Consider the following 15,870-nt stretch of genomic DNA (forward strand, 5'->3'; position numbering starts at 1 on the left):
TCAGTTTTCTTGGGTCAGTTGCCATTGGTCCATCTGTTTCCAGAATCCAGAATTTTGTTACAGTTGCCCTTTCCCCAGTCTGTTTGTCCCTGTGGGTTTATGTGTTAAGAAAAATTAAATCTCTTTACAGTTCATTTAGAAGGGTTTTGGAGGGAGAGTAAGAAACTGTGGGTGTTTGATCTGCCATCTTTACTGAGAAGTCGCTCCCTCTCCTTTGGGTAGGTTCCATAGCCATCTGGACACTGCCCTGCTCCTCTGGACCGCTTGTCCACTCACTGCTTTTGTCTGAATGTAAATACTTGAAACTAAGTCCTCAATTAACCACACATAAGCAGTAGCTGGGGTTCCCCTTTCCCTTCTCACATCTGTGACCTCTGGGCTCCCAGCATCTTCCAATCTTTCCCCTTCCACAGATGTTCCTCCTGCGTATGTCTGAGGCATGGGTTTTCTGCAAGCTTTTTCTTTTCCCTGTGTTGATCTGATCCATTTCGATTCTTTCAGGAGTTAAAAAAAAATTCTTGTCCTCTGATGGCACTTTTTCTCATTGTTATTCATACCAGTTATAGTTTTATTATTAAAATATTTTTTCCTACATTTCATGAGATTTCTGGTGGAACTGGGGATAGTTGCAAGTGCTTAGTCAGCCTTCTCCTCCAGTTCTGAAGTTTAAACTATTTAAGCCTCCACCTTTTTGGTGGTTAGGGCAAGGTGGAGTTTATGGAAAACTTAGAAAGGTCTTTGCCACACCAAGATTATTCACCCATATTTTCTTCTAGTACTTTTGTGGGTTTTTAAAATATTTACATCTTTGGTTCATTTAAAATTCCATATGATGTTAGTTGTATACCGGAATTTAGATTTCTTTTCAAATGTTTAGCTTTTTGTTCAAACATTAGCTATTGACTAATTTTCTGATTTGAAATACACACTTTGTTAATTTGTATAGCTTTATAATAGGTTTTATTGTTTCATAGGTTAAGTTCTTCTTAAGTCTTTTAAAATTATTTCTTGGTATAATTTTTTCCATTAAATAAAATTTTGAAGTTTGGCCAAATCAAAAAAAATCTCACTTGAATTTGGGTATGCCTGCATTACTTTTCTATTCATTTAGGGAGCATTAGCATTTTAATGCATTAAAAGCCATATTTCAACTACTGGGATGGATCTAAGTTATCTAGTCAGTTGAAGTAATCATTTACTTTAAGATGTAATAAAATTGTTTCAACATCCCAAGTCACACCTGATAGAAGTCTCAGCACGCTTTCCAGGCTCTCTGGGGTGTCACGGCAGTCAAAGGGGTTGGTGTTTATTTTTCCCGGAGTCAGTTCCATATTCCTGCTTCCATGGAATTCTTGATCTCCAGTCTGGCTCTGACCCCCGCACATCTGTCCTTTCTCCAGTCCACAACACTCCACTGGAAACCATCTGATCTTTTCACTGGCACTAACTCAAGGCCATGTGCATGGTAGATAGGCAACATCAGGGTAGTGTTACAAATCTGAGCCCTGGAGTCAGAATGTCTGGGTCAACAGCTTGACTTCACACTTGTAAGCTATGCACTTGATCAAGTTACTTAATGTCTCTCTGCCTTAATTCCTCATCTGTAAGGTAGGAAAATAGGATTTTTGTGATAATTAAATGTAGAAAGTTAAAGTGTTAAAGAGTTAAAGTGCTCAGGGCAGTGTCTGGCAAGTAGGTGCTCAATAAATATGAGCTGTTATAATTATCATCGAAGGTTTGGAGGCTATGGAAATGGGTTACATAAAAACACAGCACAACAAATGACTATAAACTGAATATTGGAAGTGTATTCTTAAAACTCCTTCTACTTGTCTTATTACAAAAGGAAGGTTCCCTCTCTCTCTTTAAGCCCCAGCTGGGCCCCTAACTTTGATCTCGTCCCTTCTCCTCCCTGTTTTTCAACTCTAGTCAAATCTCACTCTCTTAATTAGTCCATTATAGTTTCCAAGGCATGAGGACTTATCTTTCCAATACTTAACCAGCTCATCATTTGTTTGGCTAAACAAAACCAGCTCAGGCTGCAAAAAAAAAGAGCTTATCTTCCCTTTAGACTATAGAAGAATATAAAAGAATGTAGTTCAAAAACTAACAATGATTTTCCTGCACTTCGTAAAGAGAGCATATCTAAAAGGTACAGCTCTCCATTTTCTCAAAACTCTTTTTCTGCCCATGAATAGAATTTTGTTGTTTTCTCTATATAGCACGTCTTATGGTTACTATATATAAATTGTTATTATGAGTAGAATTTTTATTCACTATATTTTCTTACTGGTTATTGTTAGTATGAAAGAAAGTTATTGCTTCTTTGTACATTTATTTTGAAACTAGAGTCATATTACCACTGTTTCATATAGTTTCTAATAGCTTTCTCAGTTTTATTGTCTTGGATTTTCTCTGGCATATAATCATTTTATCTGCAAATAATGACAATTTTGTTTGCTCATTTCCAGTATTTACACCACTTATTTTGGTTTATTGTGCTGGCTTGGACAGACATTATGTAACCGTGATTATAATGATCACTGATAGTGCTGGTTCTATTTGCTAATATTTTGTTTAGGGTTTATAAATGAAATGGCTGTAGTTTTCTTTTTAGTATAATTTTGATAGATTTTGTTATAATACTTTGCTGGCTTTATAAAAACAAGAAAAGCAAAAAGGAGTAGCTCTTTTTTCTCTGAGTTCTAAAATAATTTAAATAATTCTTGTGTTACCTATTCGTTGATGGTTTGATCTGTGTGGACTATATGGGCCTGGCCACTTTTAGGATAAGGTTCTTCACAATCATCTTATAGCCTATTTTAGGTTTCCTATTTCTACTTCATATAGAGAACTTATTTTTCTAAAATAATTATCTATATCACCCAAGTTTTAAAATTTATTTGCACAGTTTTTCTTTATATACTTTAAGTTTTAGGGTACATGTGAACAATGTGCAGGTTAGTTACATATGTATACATGTGCCATGTTGGTGTGCTGCACCCATTAACTCGTCATTTAACATTAGGTATATCTCCTAATGCTATCCCTCCCCCCTCCCCCCACCCCACAACAGGCCCCGGTGTGTGATGTTTCCCTTCCAGTGTCCATGTGTTCTCATTGTTCAATTCCCGCCTATGAGTGAGAACACGCGGTGTTTGGTTTTTTGTCCTTGCGATAGTTTGCTGAGAATGATGGTTTCCAGCTTCATCCATGTCCCTACAAAGGACATGAACTCATCATTTTTTATGGCTGCCTAGTATTTCATGGTGTATATGTGCCACATTTCCTTGATCCAGTCTATCATTGTTGGACATTTGGTTTGGTTCCAAGTCTTTGCTATTGTGAATAGTGCCTCAATAAACATACGTGTGCATGTGTCTTTATAGCAGCATGATTTATAATCCTTTGGGTATATACCCAGCTTTACAAAGTTTTCTTTAATACTTTAAAAACTTTTCCCTGCATCTGTGGTTATCTATCTTTTCTTTTGACTAGTTTTGGGTATTTGTATTTTCCCACCTTTTTCCTTTTTTTGACTAAGGTAGGTTATGATTTATTTTCTTATTTTATTTTTTTAAATATCTTGAATTAATTAAACAATTCTATTGCTTTTGGCTTTTCCAGTTTAAACTCAATTTCACATTTCATATTTATTCTTTCCTTTTGCTTTAGGTTAGATAATCTTTTCCTACATTATTGAGTTTTGTGTTTATTCTATTTCACTCTTTGTTGAGTAATGACAGAACTTACAGATGTAAGTTTTTGCCTAAGGACAAGTTTAGCTTCAACACATACATTTTAGTGTACAGTAGTCTTGTTATTGTTGTTTTAGCAAAACAGGTATTTTAAAGAGACTGGTATATTTCCCAAATGGTTGGCAAGTTACCGTTTGCTTGTTTCTACTTAATTTCTAGCTGTATTGCATTTTGGTCAGAAAACGTGATCTTTCCTCTTCCTACATTTTAAGCTATGTTGAGGTTGCCTTCATGGAATGATATGGATTTTATGCTGAGTACACAGTTAAGATCTGTAATTGTTTCATAAGTACTTGAAAAGAACATACATTCTCTAATGTGATAATGTAACATGTAATATGCATATATAGCATCTGTCAAGGACTGAGAGAGGTTCAAATTTGCTTCTTTTTCTCACTTGCCCCTTTCATTGATCTAGTTTGTTGTACAAGGGAATGGTTCTCAAAGTGTGGTCCCTGGACCAGCAAGCAACAGCATCACCTCCTTAGAAATGCAAAATCTTGGGCCCTACCCCAGTCCTGTGAATTAGAAACTGGGGCCGGCACTAGCAGTCTGTGTTTTCAGAAGCTCTCTGGGTGATTAGAATGCACACTCACATTCAAGTACACTAGGAGAAGGCATGGGATGTGGATCTCATTTTGTCTTCCTTTGTTCTGAAAAATTACTCTCCCCCGTCCCACTTGTTTGTGATGCTCCCCTTTTCAATAACTTAATTCTCTTTATAAACTATTCATTCTGTACCATTAATCTGTGTCACACTGTTTTAATTTTTATAGTTAATAATCAAAGGCAGGCAAATTGGAATTCGGTATTATGTTTTTCCTATTAAATTTGCAAAGATTTAAAAACTCAATAATTTTCAGTGTTGGCAAAAATACAACGAACAAGACACTCTCATACAGTGGTGGTGAGAATGTAAAGTGATACATTTTTTCCTGAAAAGAACTTATGGCAATACGTCTAAAATATCTTTGCCTCTGCTTCAATAATTCCACCTGTAGACATTCATTCTAAGGAAATAATCAGAATTGGTTTAAAAATTATACTTACATTGTTTTTTGTTTACTCTGTTATTTGTTTTTAATGAATAGACATTTTTGGAAAAGCTTTCGGTTTATGGAAAAATTGAGCAGAAAATAAAGTGTTCCCATATGCTCCTCCCTCCCCAACATTTGCCTTATTACTAACATCTTGTATTAGTATGGTATATTTGTAACAATTGACGACCCAATCTTAATACATTATTAGTAACTAAAGTCCATAGTTTATATTAGGACCCGCTGTTTATGTTGTACATTCTATGGGTTTTCCCAAATCTGTGACATGTACAGACCATGACAGCATCATTCAGAATAGTGTCCTAAAAATCCCTTGTGCTCCAACTATTTGTCTTTTTAAATAGAAAAAAATAGAAAGTTCCAACAATATGAGCATGTTTACATAAACTATGATATATTTAATTCAACTAAAATATTATGCAACCATTAAAAATCATGTTCCTGCAAAATATTTAATTGACTTGGGGGAAATGTCAATGATATATTACTAAGTTTAAAAAAAGAATACAAACTGTATTTGTAATATCATCTGAGCTTTATTATTATTTATTTATTTTATTTTATTTTATTTATTTATTTTTGAGATAGAGTCTCACTCTGTCACCCAGGCTGGAGTGCAGTGGCGCGATCTCGGCTCACTGCAAGCTCCGCCTCCCGGGTTCATGCCATTCTCCTACCTCAGCCTCCCGAGTAGCTGGGACTACAGGCACCCGCCTTGACACCCGGCTAATTTTTTGTACTTTTAGTAGAGACGGGGTTTCACCGTGTTAGCCAGGATGGTTTCGATCTCCTGACCTTGTGATCGCCCGCCTCGGACTCCCAAAGTGCTGGGATTACCAGCGTGAGACACCGCGCCCAGCCTATTATTATTTAAATAATAATATATGTTCATAAAAAATACTCAAAGGGGCCGAGCACGTGCCTCACACCTGTAATCCCAACAGTTTGGGAGGCCAAGGCGGGCAGGAGTTTGAGACCAGCCTGGCCAACGTGGTGAAATTCAGTCTCTACTAAAAATACAAAAATTAGCCGGGCGTGGTGGTGGGCGCCTGCAGTCCCAGCTGCTTGGGAGGCTGAGACAGGAGAATTGCTTGAACCCAGGAGGCAGACGTTGCAGTGAGCCGAGACTGTGCCACTCACTGCAGCCTGCACAACAGAGCAAGCCTCCATCTAAAAAAAAAAAAAAAAAAAAAATCAAAAAACAAATAAACAAACAAAAACGCCACAGGGGGAAAAGACTGAAAGCTTTACATCAGAATGCTGAAAAGGTCTGTGAGAAGCTAAAAGTAGCTTGTAGGGTCAGGAACACTGCCTCTGGCATCAGCCACCTGAGAACTGCTTGATCTTGGGAAAATCACATTGCTTTCTTTTTTGTCTTTATGAAATTTTCTAAACTAAGGATGGATTGTTTTTAGAATGAGAAAAAAACTAATAAAAAAACTACAAATAGTAAAAGAGGAAGTGACAGAGAAGCAAAAGAAGACACAATGGGGCAATAAAGGAGTTTAAATGGCAACATTTCCTACCCAAAGTGACTGGAAGAGAAAAGAGAAGTCATTGACTTGCACAGCCAAAACTACTAGAGGGCTGGCCCGAGGCTCAGCTTGGGGCAGGGCTCCAATGGTGAGCCTCATGCCCCATTCCCTCTGTCTCTCAGATCACTATCTGGATTTCCCCCTGCAGTAGCCCAGGCCTCACTCACGTCCTTCCCGCTTCACAAGCTGTGAGAGTTTGCCAGAATTCCCCCCAGTGAAAATTTCATCTCATCTCATTGGTTCTAGTTGAGTCACATGCTCATGTCTCAACCAATCAAAGTGGCCAGAGAAAATGCAACTTGTTGAGTGGTTTAAGCCTGGATCCCTCAACCTTCAGAATCAAGGATGAAATCAGCTTCCCCAGAACCACGTGGAGTGACATTAAGTAAAAGAGTGATTCCCTAATGGGAACTACTGGGTGGCAATTAACAAAAGATGCTCTTTGTCCCTGAAGGGAGGTGGCTCCACAGCTCTGCCAGACGTTTTGGGTGAATCTCTGCAGCACCCATGTCACTCCTGAAGTAGTTTTAGGGGTATTTGTTTTCACGCCCACAGTAGAGGTGGCTGTATTGGTTTGTGCTGAACCAAGACCTGACCAGGCAGCAAATGACTGGTCCTCAGGACACTGGGACCACAGGCTTACTGTTAACATCTTTCAGTTTGTGCTTTCAGCATTTCACATCAAAAGGATTTTATAAAATGCCCTTTTTAAACTTTCTGAGACTATTAGTCTGAGTATTGGGAGGCACAGAGACGGCATCCCTGAGGCAGGGGTTAGGGGATGGGAGATCTTCTTTTCTGTGTAACTGAAGTGCAGTGATGTCTTTTATGACCTCCCCAAAGACAAAAGATGAGTATAACAATACTCTTGCCAATTTGCTGGAAAGTTTATCGTTTTTAGTTTCACAGCTGGAGATCCTCAGCCCATTTCATTATCCTTGGGCTAAACAGAGTCCTCATTTTATGGCTGTTGTGAAACTGTATTCTTGGAACAATGACAACCTCTGACTCCTCTAAAGTCATGGCCAGTTGAACTCCCTTGTGTCATTGGGATTGGCAATAAAAACAGGTTGGATACTAAGCAGATACACCTGCCGCTCAGGCATCTCTCAGGTGCCAAAAGATAGACTGATTGTGTGGACCAAGCTCCATGCTCTGGGACGAAGGGAATAGAATTGAATTCCCTTGGGAGGTTGAAGCTTCAGGGAGTATAGATCAAATAAACCTCCCTTCTGTGTAGGCTGTCCTTCCATCTGACAGTGAAATGATCCAGTTTTCTTGGGCTATGAATATGGACAGACCTTTAGCCCCACCTTAGCCAACACATGAAAAAGTATATAATCCTGGCAGGAACCCATATAGAAGAAGGCACTAGACCAGGCCATCTGCACCTTGTCATTTCTTTAATAAAATGGGATTTCATTACCTCGGCCCTGTCAGTATTTTTATCTTGCCTCTGCCTCTTTACACTTGGAGGGGGTTGCTGGGTTACCTGAAAAGAGACTGTTTTTCAAAGCAAAATACTGCATTACTATTACTAATATCACTATTAGTAATAGTAATGTGTCCGGAATTGGTGGGTTCTTGGTCTCACTGACTTCAAGAATGAAGCCGCGGACCCTCGCCGTGACTGTTACAGCTCTTAAGGTGGCACGTCTTGAGTCTGTCCCTTCTGATGTTCAGATGTGTTCGGAGTTTCTTCCTTCTGGTGGGTTCGTGGTCTCGCTGGGCTCAGGAATGAAACTGCAGACCTTCGCAGTGAGTGTTACAGCTCTTAAGGCAGCGCATCTGGAGTTGTTCGTTCCTCCCAGTGGGCTCGTGGTCTCTCTGGGCTCAGGAGTGAAGCTGCAGATCTTTGCAGTGAGTGTTATAGTTCACAAAAGCAGCGTGGACCCAAAGAGTGAGCAGTAGCAAGATTTATTGCAAAGAGCGAAAGAACAAAGCCTCCACTGTGTGCAAGGGGACCCGAGCTGATTGCCAATGCTGACCTGGGCAGCCTGCTTTTATTCTCTTATCTGGCCCCACCCACATCCTGCTGATTGGTAGAGCCCAGTGGCCTGTTTTGTCAGGGCGCTGACTGGTGCGTTTACAATCCCTGAGCTAGATACAAAGGTTCTCCAAGTCCCCATCAGATTAGTTAGATACAGAGTTTTGACACACAGGTTCTCCAAGGCCCCACCAGAGCAGCTAGATACAGAGTGTCGATTGGTGCATTCACAAACCTTGAGCTAAACACAGGGTGCTGATTGGTGTGTTTACAAACCTTGAGCTAGATACAGAGTGCCGATTGGTGTATTTACAATCCCTGAGCTAGACATAAAGGTTCTCCACGTCCCCACCAGAGCAGCTAGATACAGAGTGTCGATTGGTGCACTCACAAACCTTGAGCTAAACACAGGGTGCTGATTGGTGTATTTACAATCCCTGAGCTAGACATAAAGGTTTTCCAAGGCCCCACCAGAGCAGCTAGATACAGTGTCGATTGGTGCACTCACAAACCTTGAGCTAAACACAGGGTGCTGATTGGTGTGTTTACAAACCTTGAGCTAGATACAGAGTGCCGATTGGTGTATTTACAATCCCTGAGCTAGACATAAAGGTTCTCCACATCCCCACCAGAGCAGCTAGATACAGAGTGTGGATTGGTGCATTCACAAACCTTGAGCTAAACACAGGGTGCTGATTGGTGTATTTACAATCCCTGAGCTAGATATAAAGACTCTCCACGTCCCCACCAGACTCAGGAGCCCAGCTGGCTTCACCTAGTGGATCCCACACTGGGGCTGCAGGTAGAGCTGCCTGCCAGTCCTGTGCCGTGCACTCGCATTCCTCAGCCCTTGGGTGATCGATGGGACTGGGCACCATGGAGCAGGGGGTGGTGCTCGTTGGGGAGGCTCGGGCTGCACAGGAGCCCATGGAGGGGGTGGGAGACTCAGGCATGGCGGGCTGCAGGTCCCGAGCCCTGCCCCGCGGGAAGGCAGCTAAGGCTCGGTGAGAAATCGAGCTCAGCGCCGATGGGCTGGCACTGCTGGGGGACCCAGTACACCCTCCGCAGCCGCTGGCCCGGGTGCTAAGTCCCTCATTGCCCGGGGCCAGCAGGGCTGGCCGGCTGCTCCGAGTGCGGGGCCTGCCAAGCCCACGCGCACCCGGAACTCCAGCTGGCCCGCAAGTGCCGCAGGCAGCCCCCGTTCCCGCTCACGCCTCTCCCTCCACACCTCCCTGCAAGCTGAGGGAGTGGGCTCCAGCCTTGGCCAGCCCAGAAAAAGGCTCCCACAGTGCAGTGGGGGGGGGGCTGAAGGGCTCCTCAAATGCCACCAAAGTGGGAGCCCAGGCAGGGGAGGTGCCGAGAGCAAGCGAGGGCTCTGAGGACTGCCAGCACGCTGTCACCTCTCAGTAATAGCACAGCCCCATCCTTGCTGTACATTGTGGACATTATCTTGACTCCTCACAATAACTCTCCAAGGTAGGTCTCATAGTCACCATTTTAAATGGGAGGAAACTAAGGCTATGTCTTGTTAGGTAATTTACCCAGTTCATACAGTTCTATGTGATAGAACTGGAGTTTGGAAACTAAGCCTGACAATGCCAAATACTTTGTTTCTTCTCCTCATTATCAATAGCTGACTAAAATGTAATTTTGTCAACCTGATCTTGAAAAAATTTAGCCTGATTTTATTTTTATCTGTTATTCCTAAATTAAGCAGCCTCAGTGGCATTACAAGCCGAATCCTTGAGGTGACTGGTCACCAGAAGGAATCCAGCCTTCTCCATGCATAATCACTCTACAGCAGCCTTCCAGACCCATCCATGGGAATCCTTTTCTTGAGGTCTGGGCAAAACCACTCCAAGAACAAACCCCCCAATCTCCATCAGAGCTTCTCTGCCCCGTATTTGTCTGACCCCTCAGTTCAGCAGTGATGATGACCAGGGCAAGTCAAATCTATGTCTGAGCCTGTGGCCTGACCCCATTGTTTGTACTTATCCGATGTGAAATGCTAGTACTTGCTTTGCAATTTTACATTTTGATGCAAGTGAAAGGTTTGAACCAGCTGTTTAAAAAAACAAATAGCTTTAAACCCCATTGTAAAGTGATGACCTCATGTAGGAAAACTGGTTGGGCTCTTGCCCTAGGAGGGGCTGGGGGTAGGTTCCCGATAGACAAGCTGCTCCTTGTGAACCACTCAGAAGCTGGCTCTTGCTCAGCGGCTGTGGATGAGCCATGAGAGCCACATCTGTTTTTAAATCTTCAAGATGAATGGAGTTGAATTTTCTATTCTTTAAATGTGGAGAAGAAAAGAACAAAACGCTTCCTGTCAGTGAAGTCCTGTGTTTCTAAGTGGGGTAACTTCTTTTTTATTGAACGAAAGCTTTTCAAGAAGCATTCCAAAGAGGATATACCAGAATCTGGAACTGGCATATGAAAATATCACCTCTAGGGAACAATTCATAAAACCACCAATTACTCCGTGGACTCCTTTTGGCTCTGTCCTTGCTTTAGATGATAGGTACATTCTCACACCCCTGAGCTCCTCAGAAAAGCAGGAGGGATCCCTTTGTGCCCTCGTTTATACCCTGCTAGAGGTTAAGCATAGATGATACACTGTCACCTCACTGGAACATTTTAAACTTGAAAAAAAAAAAAAAGAGAAAGAAAACCTATTAAAATTGTCAACATTCCCACAGTAATTGAGTTTTCTAAATTCATTCAATAGCTAGTTTATTCATTTAATCAACCATTTTTTGAGTCCCTACTATATGCCAAATGCTGCTGTAGGGTGAGGAGTTGAAGATATAAGATCCATTACAATCATCCCCCTCATCCTCAGGAATACATGCCAAGACCCCCGGTGGATGCCTGAAATCACAGACAGCACCGAATCTTATATATACACCACATTCTTCCTCTACATTCATACTCATGATAGCTTAATTTATAAATTAGGCAAAGTAAGAAACTGGCAACAATAATAAGAATAATTGTAAGTACACTTTAATAAATGCTCTGTGAATGTAGTCTCTCTCCCTCTCAGAGTATCTTATTGTAATGTACCTACTGCTCTTGTGAGATGATAAAAAGCCTACATGATAAGATAAAGTGATAGGGCTGGGCGTGGTGGCTCATGCCTGTAATCCCAGCACTTTGGGAGGCCGAGGTGGGTGGATCACCTGAGATCAGGAGTTTGAGACCAGCCTGGCCAACATGGTGAAACCCCATCTCTTCTGAAAATAGAAAAATTAGCCAAGCGTGGTGGCTGGTGCCTGTAATTGCAGCTACTTGGGATGCTGAGACAGAAGAATCACTGGAACCCAGGAGGTGGAGGTTGCAGTGAGCCGAGTCAGAACAGCATGCACTTTAAAGCTTATGAATTGCTTATTTCTGGAATTTTCCACTTAGTATTTTCAGACCATGGTTGACTGCAGGTAACTGAAACCATGGAAAGCAAAACCACAGATAGAGGGACTACTATACCTGTACTCAAGTCGACAGTCTAGCAGAAGAGGAAGAGAAATAGATAACTTGAAGTCCATGTGGTCAGCTATGCTCAGGACACTGGGGGATAGGCCTGGGGGTAGGGAAGGAAGTGATGACCAAAGATGGCTTCCTGTAAGAAGAAACCCCAATCTGAGCTTTGAAGGACACGATGGGGTTAGCAAAACGTTTAAGACAGAAGAAGCAGCCTGTACAAAGGTGGAGGAGTGAGACAGGAGATAGGAGATGTATTGCAGGGGCTGTGGGGGCCAGGGCACGATGCTGGTTTATGATAGTGTTATCCCTGTGATAAGTCCCACACCTTTGGTCCATGGGAGCATCTCAGCACTGGGAGGCATCTGTGCATGTGTCTCCTCATAGCTGTAGACTCTCTGAAGATGTCTCTATGGATGTGGACACTCTTCCCCTGCATGTTATGACTGTCTGTTTCACACTTTCCAAAGCACATGCACACACATGCAGGCTTCCACACAGAAATTTCAAACAGATTGTTATTTAATGACTACAGTCATTCATCCAAACCTACACTACTGGTTGGGTGTTTGGTCTGTCTTATCTCCATTTATAGCACAGAGAAAGGTATCATCAACCAGCCTTCAAGATGTCATCTCAGAGGCCTTCCCTCTACTGGTAGGGAACCCCCCGCCCCAACACCTCTCTACACTTTCTCCCCTCCAGAACTTCTGCCTGTTTAACTCTTTTCCTCTAACAATGTCCCCACATCCCTTCTTATTCTGGCTACTCTCACCCTCAGGCAAAAGTCAGCAAGTGGCTTGTCCTTTTGGCACTCACAGCCTCCCTGGATCAGTGTTGAGTGAAGAAAGCCCTTCCCTCCTCAGCCAGGTGAAGGAAGGGAGAGCTTTGGGTCAGGAAGCTGTGTGTGGCTGGTGAAGATGATCATTTACTCCTGGTTGTGCTTTTCCTGATTTTTCCTTTGGTGCCTCTTACTATCTCTGGAAAATAAAAAAACACACAACTTACGCCAGGAGCATGAGATCTCTGCCAAGAAGCCCTGTTGAATCCTTTGAGAGTCACAATCTCTCCGAGTAATTCTGAACTTATTGGTCCAGACATGGATTTATCCCTCTACTCATCTTCATCTTCTTTGTGAAGCCCCCTTCCATTCATGCCACCCTAATGGAAGTGTCCAGTCATTCTTTCTTAATTCTCCCTGATTGGAGGGAAGAAGCGTTGTCCAATCACACACCAAACAAAATTAGTAATCTTAAGGGGTTCCATGCATGAATACCTGCTAGGTGCTAACCACAGGGTTCAATTTTGTTCATTACTCAGTGGCTAGCACGGTGTCGGGCACACACAAGTTCTTCACTAAAGCGAAGTTCTTCAATAAAGAAATGATTCCCAACACTCACAATGAACCTGGAAGTTAGGTATGATTATTTCCAATTTATAAATGAGAAGGCTAAGGCTCAGAAAGATTATCATAGTCATTTAGCTGATAAATGGTAGTTTGGTTCCTAACAAAGGTCTTTCTGGCCCCAAAGCTCATGCTTTTTCCAGAAAACCATGAAGTCATCCACCTGCCAACTCACTAAATATAGTTCATTATGTCAATAAAGATTAACCCTTTACATGGACACTTAACTGCAATGGTCTTGGTGCTGCATAACGAAGCTGTGGACTTGGGCAACTCTTCATGACCCAACTTGCTACTTCTGAGTTGCCTCCCTCTCTAGAGTTTGTCTCCTTCAGCCTATTCAATGCAGCACCTATTCATTCATTCATTCATTCATTCATTCATTCCACAAATTTTCTGGAAGTATCTACCATATGCTAGATGCTAGAGATACAAAAATGAGTCCAACGGCTCCTGCCTTCAAGGACACTAGAATTCATCACAGTATATTAGTCGCCTATGTGACTACCTTAAGGACAGAGAGAGTTGTATGATTTTTGTGGTTGTTTCCAGCTCCCAACAGAAGACCTGGCTGATGAGAGGCCCTCAGTAAGTGTTGGCTGTATTGGATTGATATGGTGTCTAATGTAATGATGAGTGTTATATATAAAGCTATGTTCCATGAGCCACAGGCATTCTTTTGGGGACATGCATATTAATTATTTTTTTCAGATCATTGAGCTGTCGTTCAATAAATGACACAACTGCCTTAATATAGAAAATTGCTAGAGGAGCTAGATTTATTTTCTTTCCTCACACTAAGAAGCAATTGTAGTAATTCCTTATGTAATAAACCAGTAAGAACTAATTTAATTTAAAAAAATTTTTTAAACTGGATTACACACAAATATGGTAGAAAGTTTTAAAAACTTACAAAAGGATATAACATTAAAAATAAGTCTCCCACTTCTGGCCCTAGGCACCCAGCTTTCATCCTTAGAATGCACGGCTATTACCAGATTTCTTGAATATTATTCCAGAGATCTTCTGTAGGCACACAAGAATAAATATGTGTACTTCTATGCATGTCTGCACACACTGCCCCCCACACAAGGTGGTATACTTCGCACAATGTTCTAGACTTTGCTTTGTTCATTTAATGCTGTGCCCTAAAGACCTTTTCATGTTATGACATAGATATTATTCTCATTTTTAAATGACTGTTATACGGATCGTACCATCTTATCCATTCCTTCATTAAGGTACATTCAGGTTGTTTCCAAATGTTTGTTTTATTACTAACAAAGCCACAGTAAATTTCCTTATCCATATATCATTTTGCACTCTAACAGCTGTGAGATAAATTCCCAGATGCAAAATGTAAATAAATTTATTTCACTTTTAAAATTTAAATTTAAAATGTATTATTATAATAAATAAAATTGAATACATTCCCAGAAGTGCTGGCCAAAGGATATATGCATTTTAAGATAAATAAGATGCATTTAACGTAAATGACATAGCCTAATTGCTCTACACAGCAGTTGTGCTAATTTGCACTCCTATAGCAATGCATGACAGAAATTTTCTCCTATGGTCAAGACGACTGACTTACCAAATTTTTTTGATCTATGCTAATCTCATTGCAATTTTCATGTTCCTTTATCTTATTATGAGATCTTATTTACTTCTTAATAGTCCAGTTTAATGTTAAGAAACCATAATTCCTGTCATGTCAAAGGAACTGCGATCATAAATTTTGAGTTTATCTGAACTACTGTTCACCAGAAGTTAAAAATAACAGTGTTATTAGTTACATTTTTATATCACTGCCAATCTCAAAGTGAACTTGAGATAACTTAATAAACACACAAAACAATGAGAGAGATAGAAACAACATTTTTAAAATCAAGACAACAGAAAGTAGAGGCAAAATGGTAAAATGAAGTAAGAGGGAAGTTTAGTGAAACAAAATGCATATCTTCAGGTCCAAAAATCTACTAATTTTGGTCCACTGTTTTGGCCTTAAGCTTCTTAGAGGTCAAAGCAAAAAGGAAAATGTAATCAATTTTAAAATGTACATTGTTAAAGAAAAGAAAATCAAAAGATTTTTGGCTTTTAAATCTAAGGGAAATTCATAAGGTTTATTGCAGAAGGGACTCCAGATAGTATCTCAACAAGATTCCTAAAATGAAAGAAAAAGTAGGGGTTTTGGAGAACAAAGCTCTGACGCCGTCTATGTAGAATGCTTTCCTAGGGCCCTTTGTCTGGTAAGAGCTCCCCTTTTCCTCCGAGGACCAACTCTCTGACTCTTCATAGTCCTGGTAGGGATATCAATGACCATGCCCTATTCCTTCCACCTTGAATACTGCTGTACAACAAACCACACCAAAATGCAGAGGCTACAGGGCAGTCCTTTAGCTCGTGCATCTACAGGTAGATCATTCTGTCTGAGCTTGGCCTCACAGTTCTATTCTTGGCTGGGTTCTCTCCCAATCCAGGGGCTGTCTGGCCATTGCAGGGGCATTTGGGTATCTTGGTCCTGTCCCACAGGTCCCTCAGCCTTTAGTATGCTGGCCTGGCATGTTGTCATGGTATGGCACAGCTCCGGGAGTAGAAGCAGAGGTATGAAGATGCCTTTTTCAACCTCGGTTTGTGTCATATCTATTAA

The 15,870-nt window shown here is 41.2% G+C and overlaps 1 long non-coding RNA gene across 2 annotated transcripts in view; it reads right to left on the reverse strand.

Annotated features, from left to right (window-relative positions):
* The window catches only part of LOC105378521 (uncharacterized), a 78,111-nt gene that overhangs the window by 26,799 nt on the left and 35,442 nt on the right, over positions 1-15,870 (reverse strand). Inside the window, exon 4 of one of the 2 annotated variants that reach the window (XR_946376.3) lies at positions 12,487-12,795. The exons of the other annotated variant lie outside the window; for it this stretch is intronic. This is a non-coding gene — a long non-coding RNA (uncharacterized LOC105378521). Of the gene's footprint in view, positions 1-12,486; positions 12,796-15,870 lie in introns of those variants that run through there. 2 annotated transcript variants of the gene reach the window in all.

Source organism: Homo sapiens, chromosome 10 (assembly GCF_000001405.40).
Source record: "Homo sapiens chromosome 10, GRCh38.p14 Primary Assembly".
Classification (NCBI taxonomy): domain Eukaryota; kingdom Metazoa; phylum Chordata; class Mammalia; order Primates; family Hominidae; genus Homo; species Homo sapiens.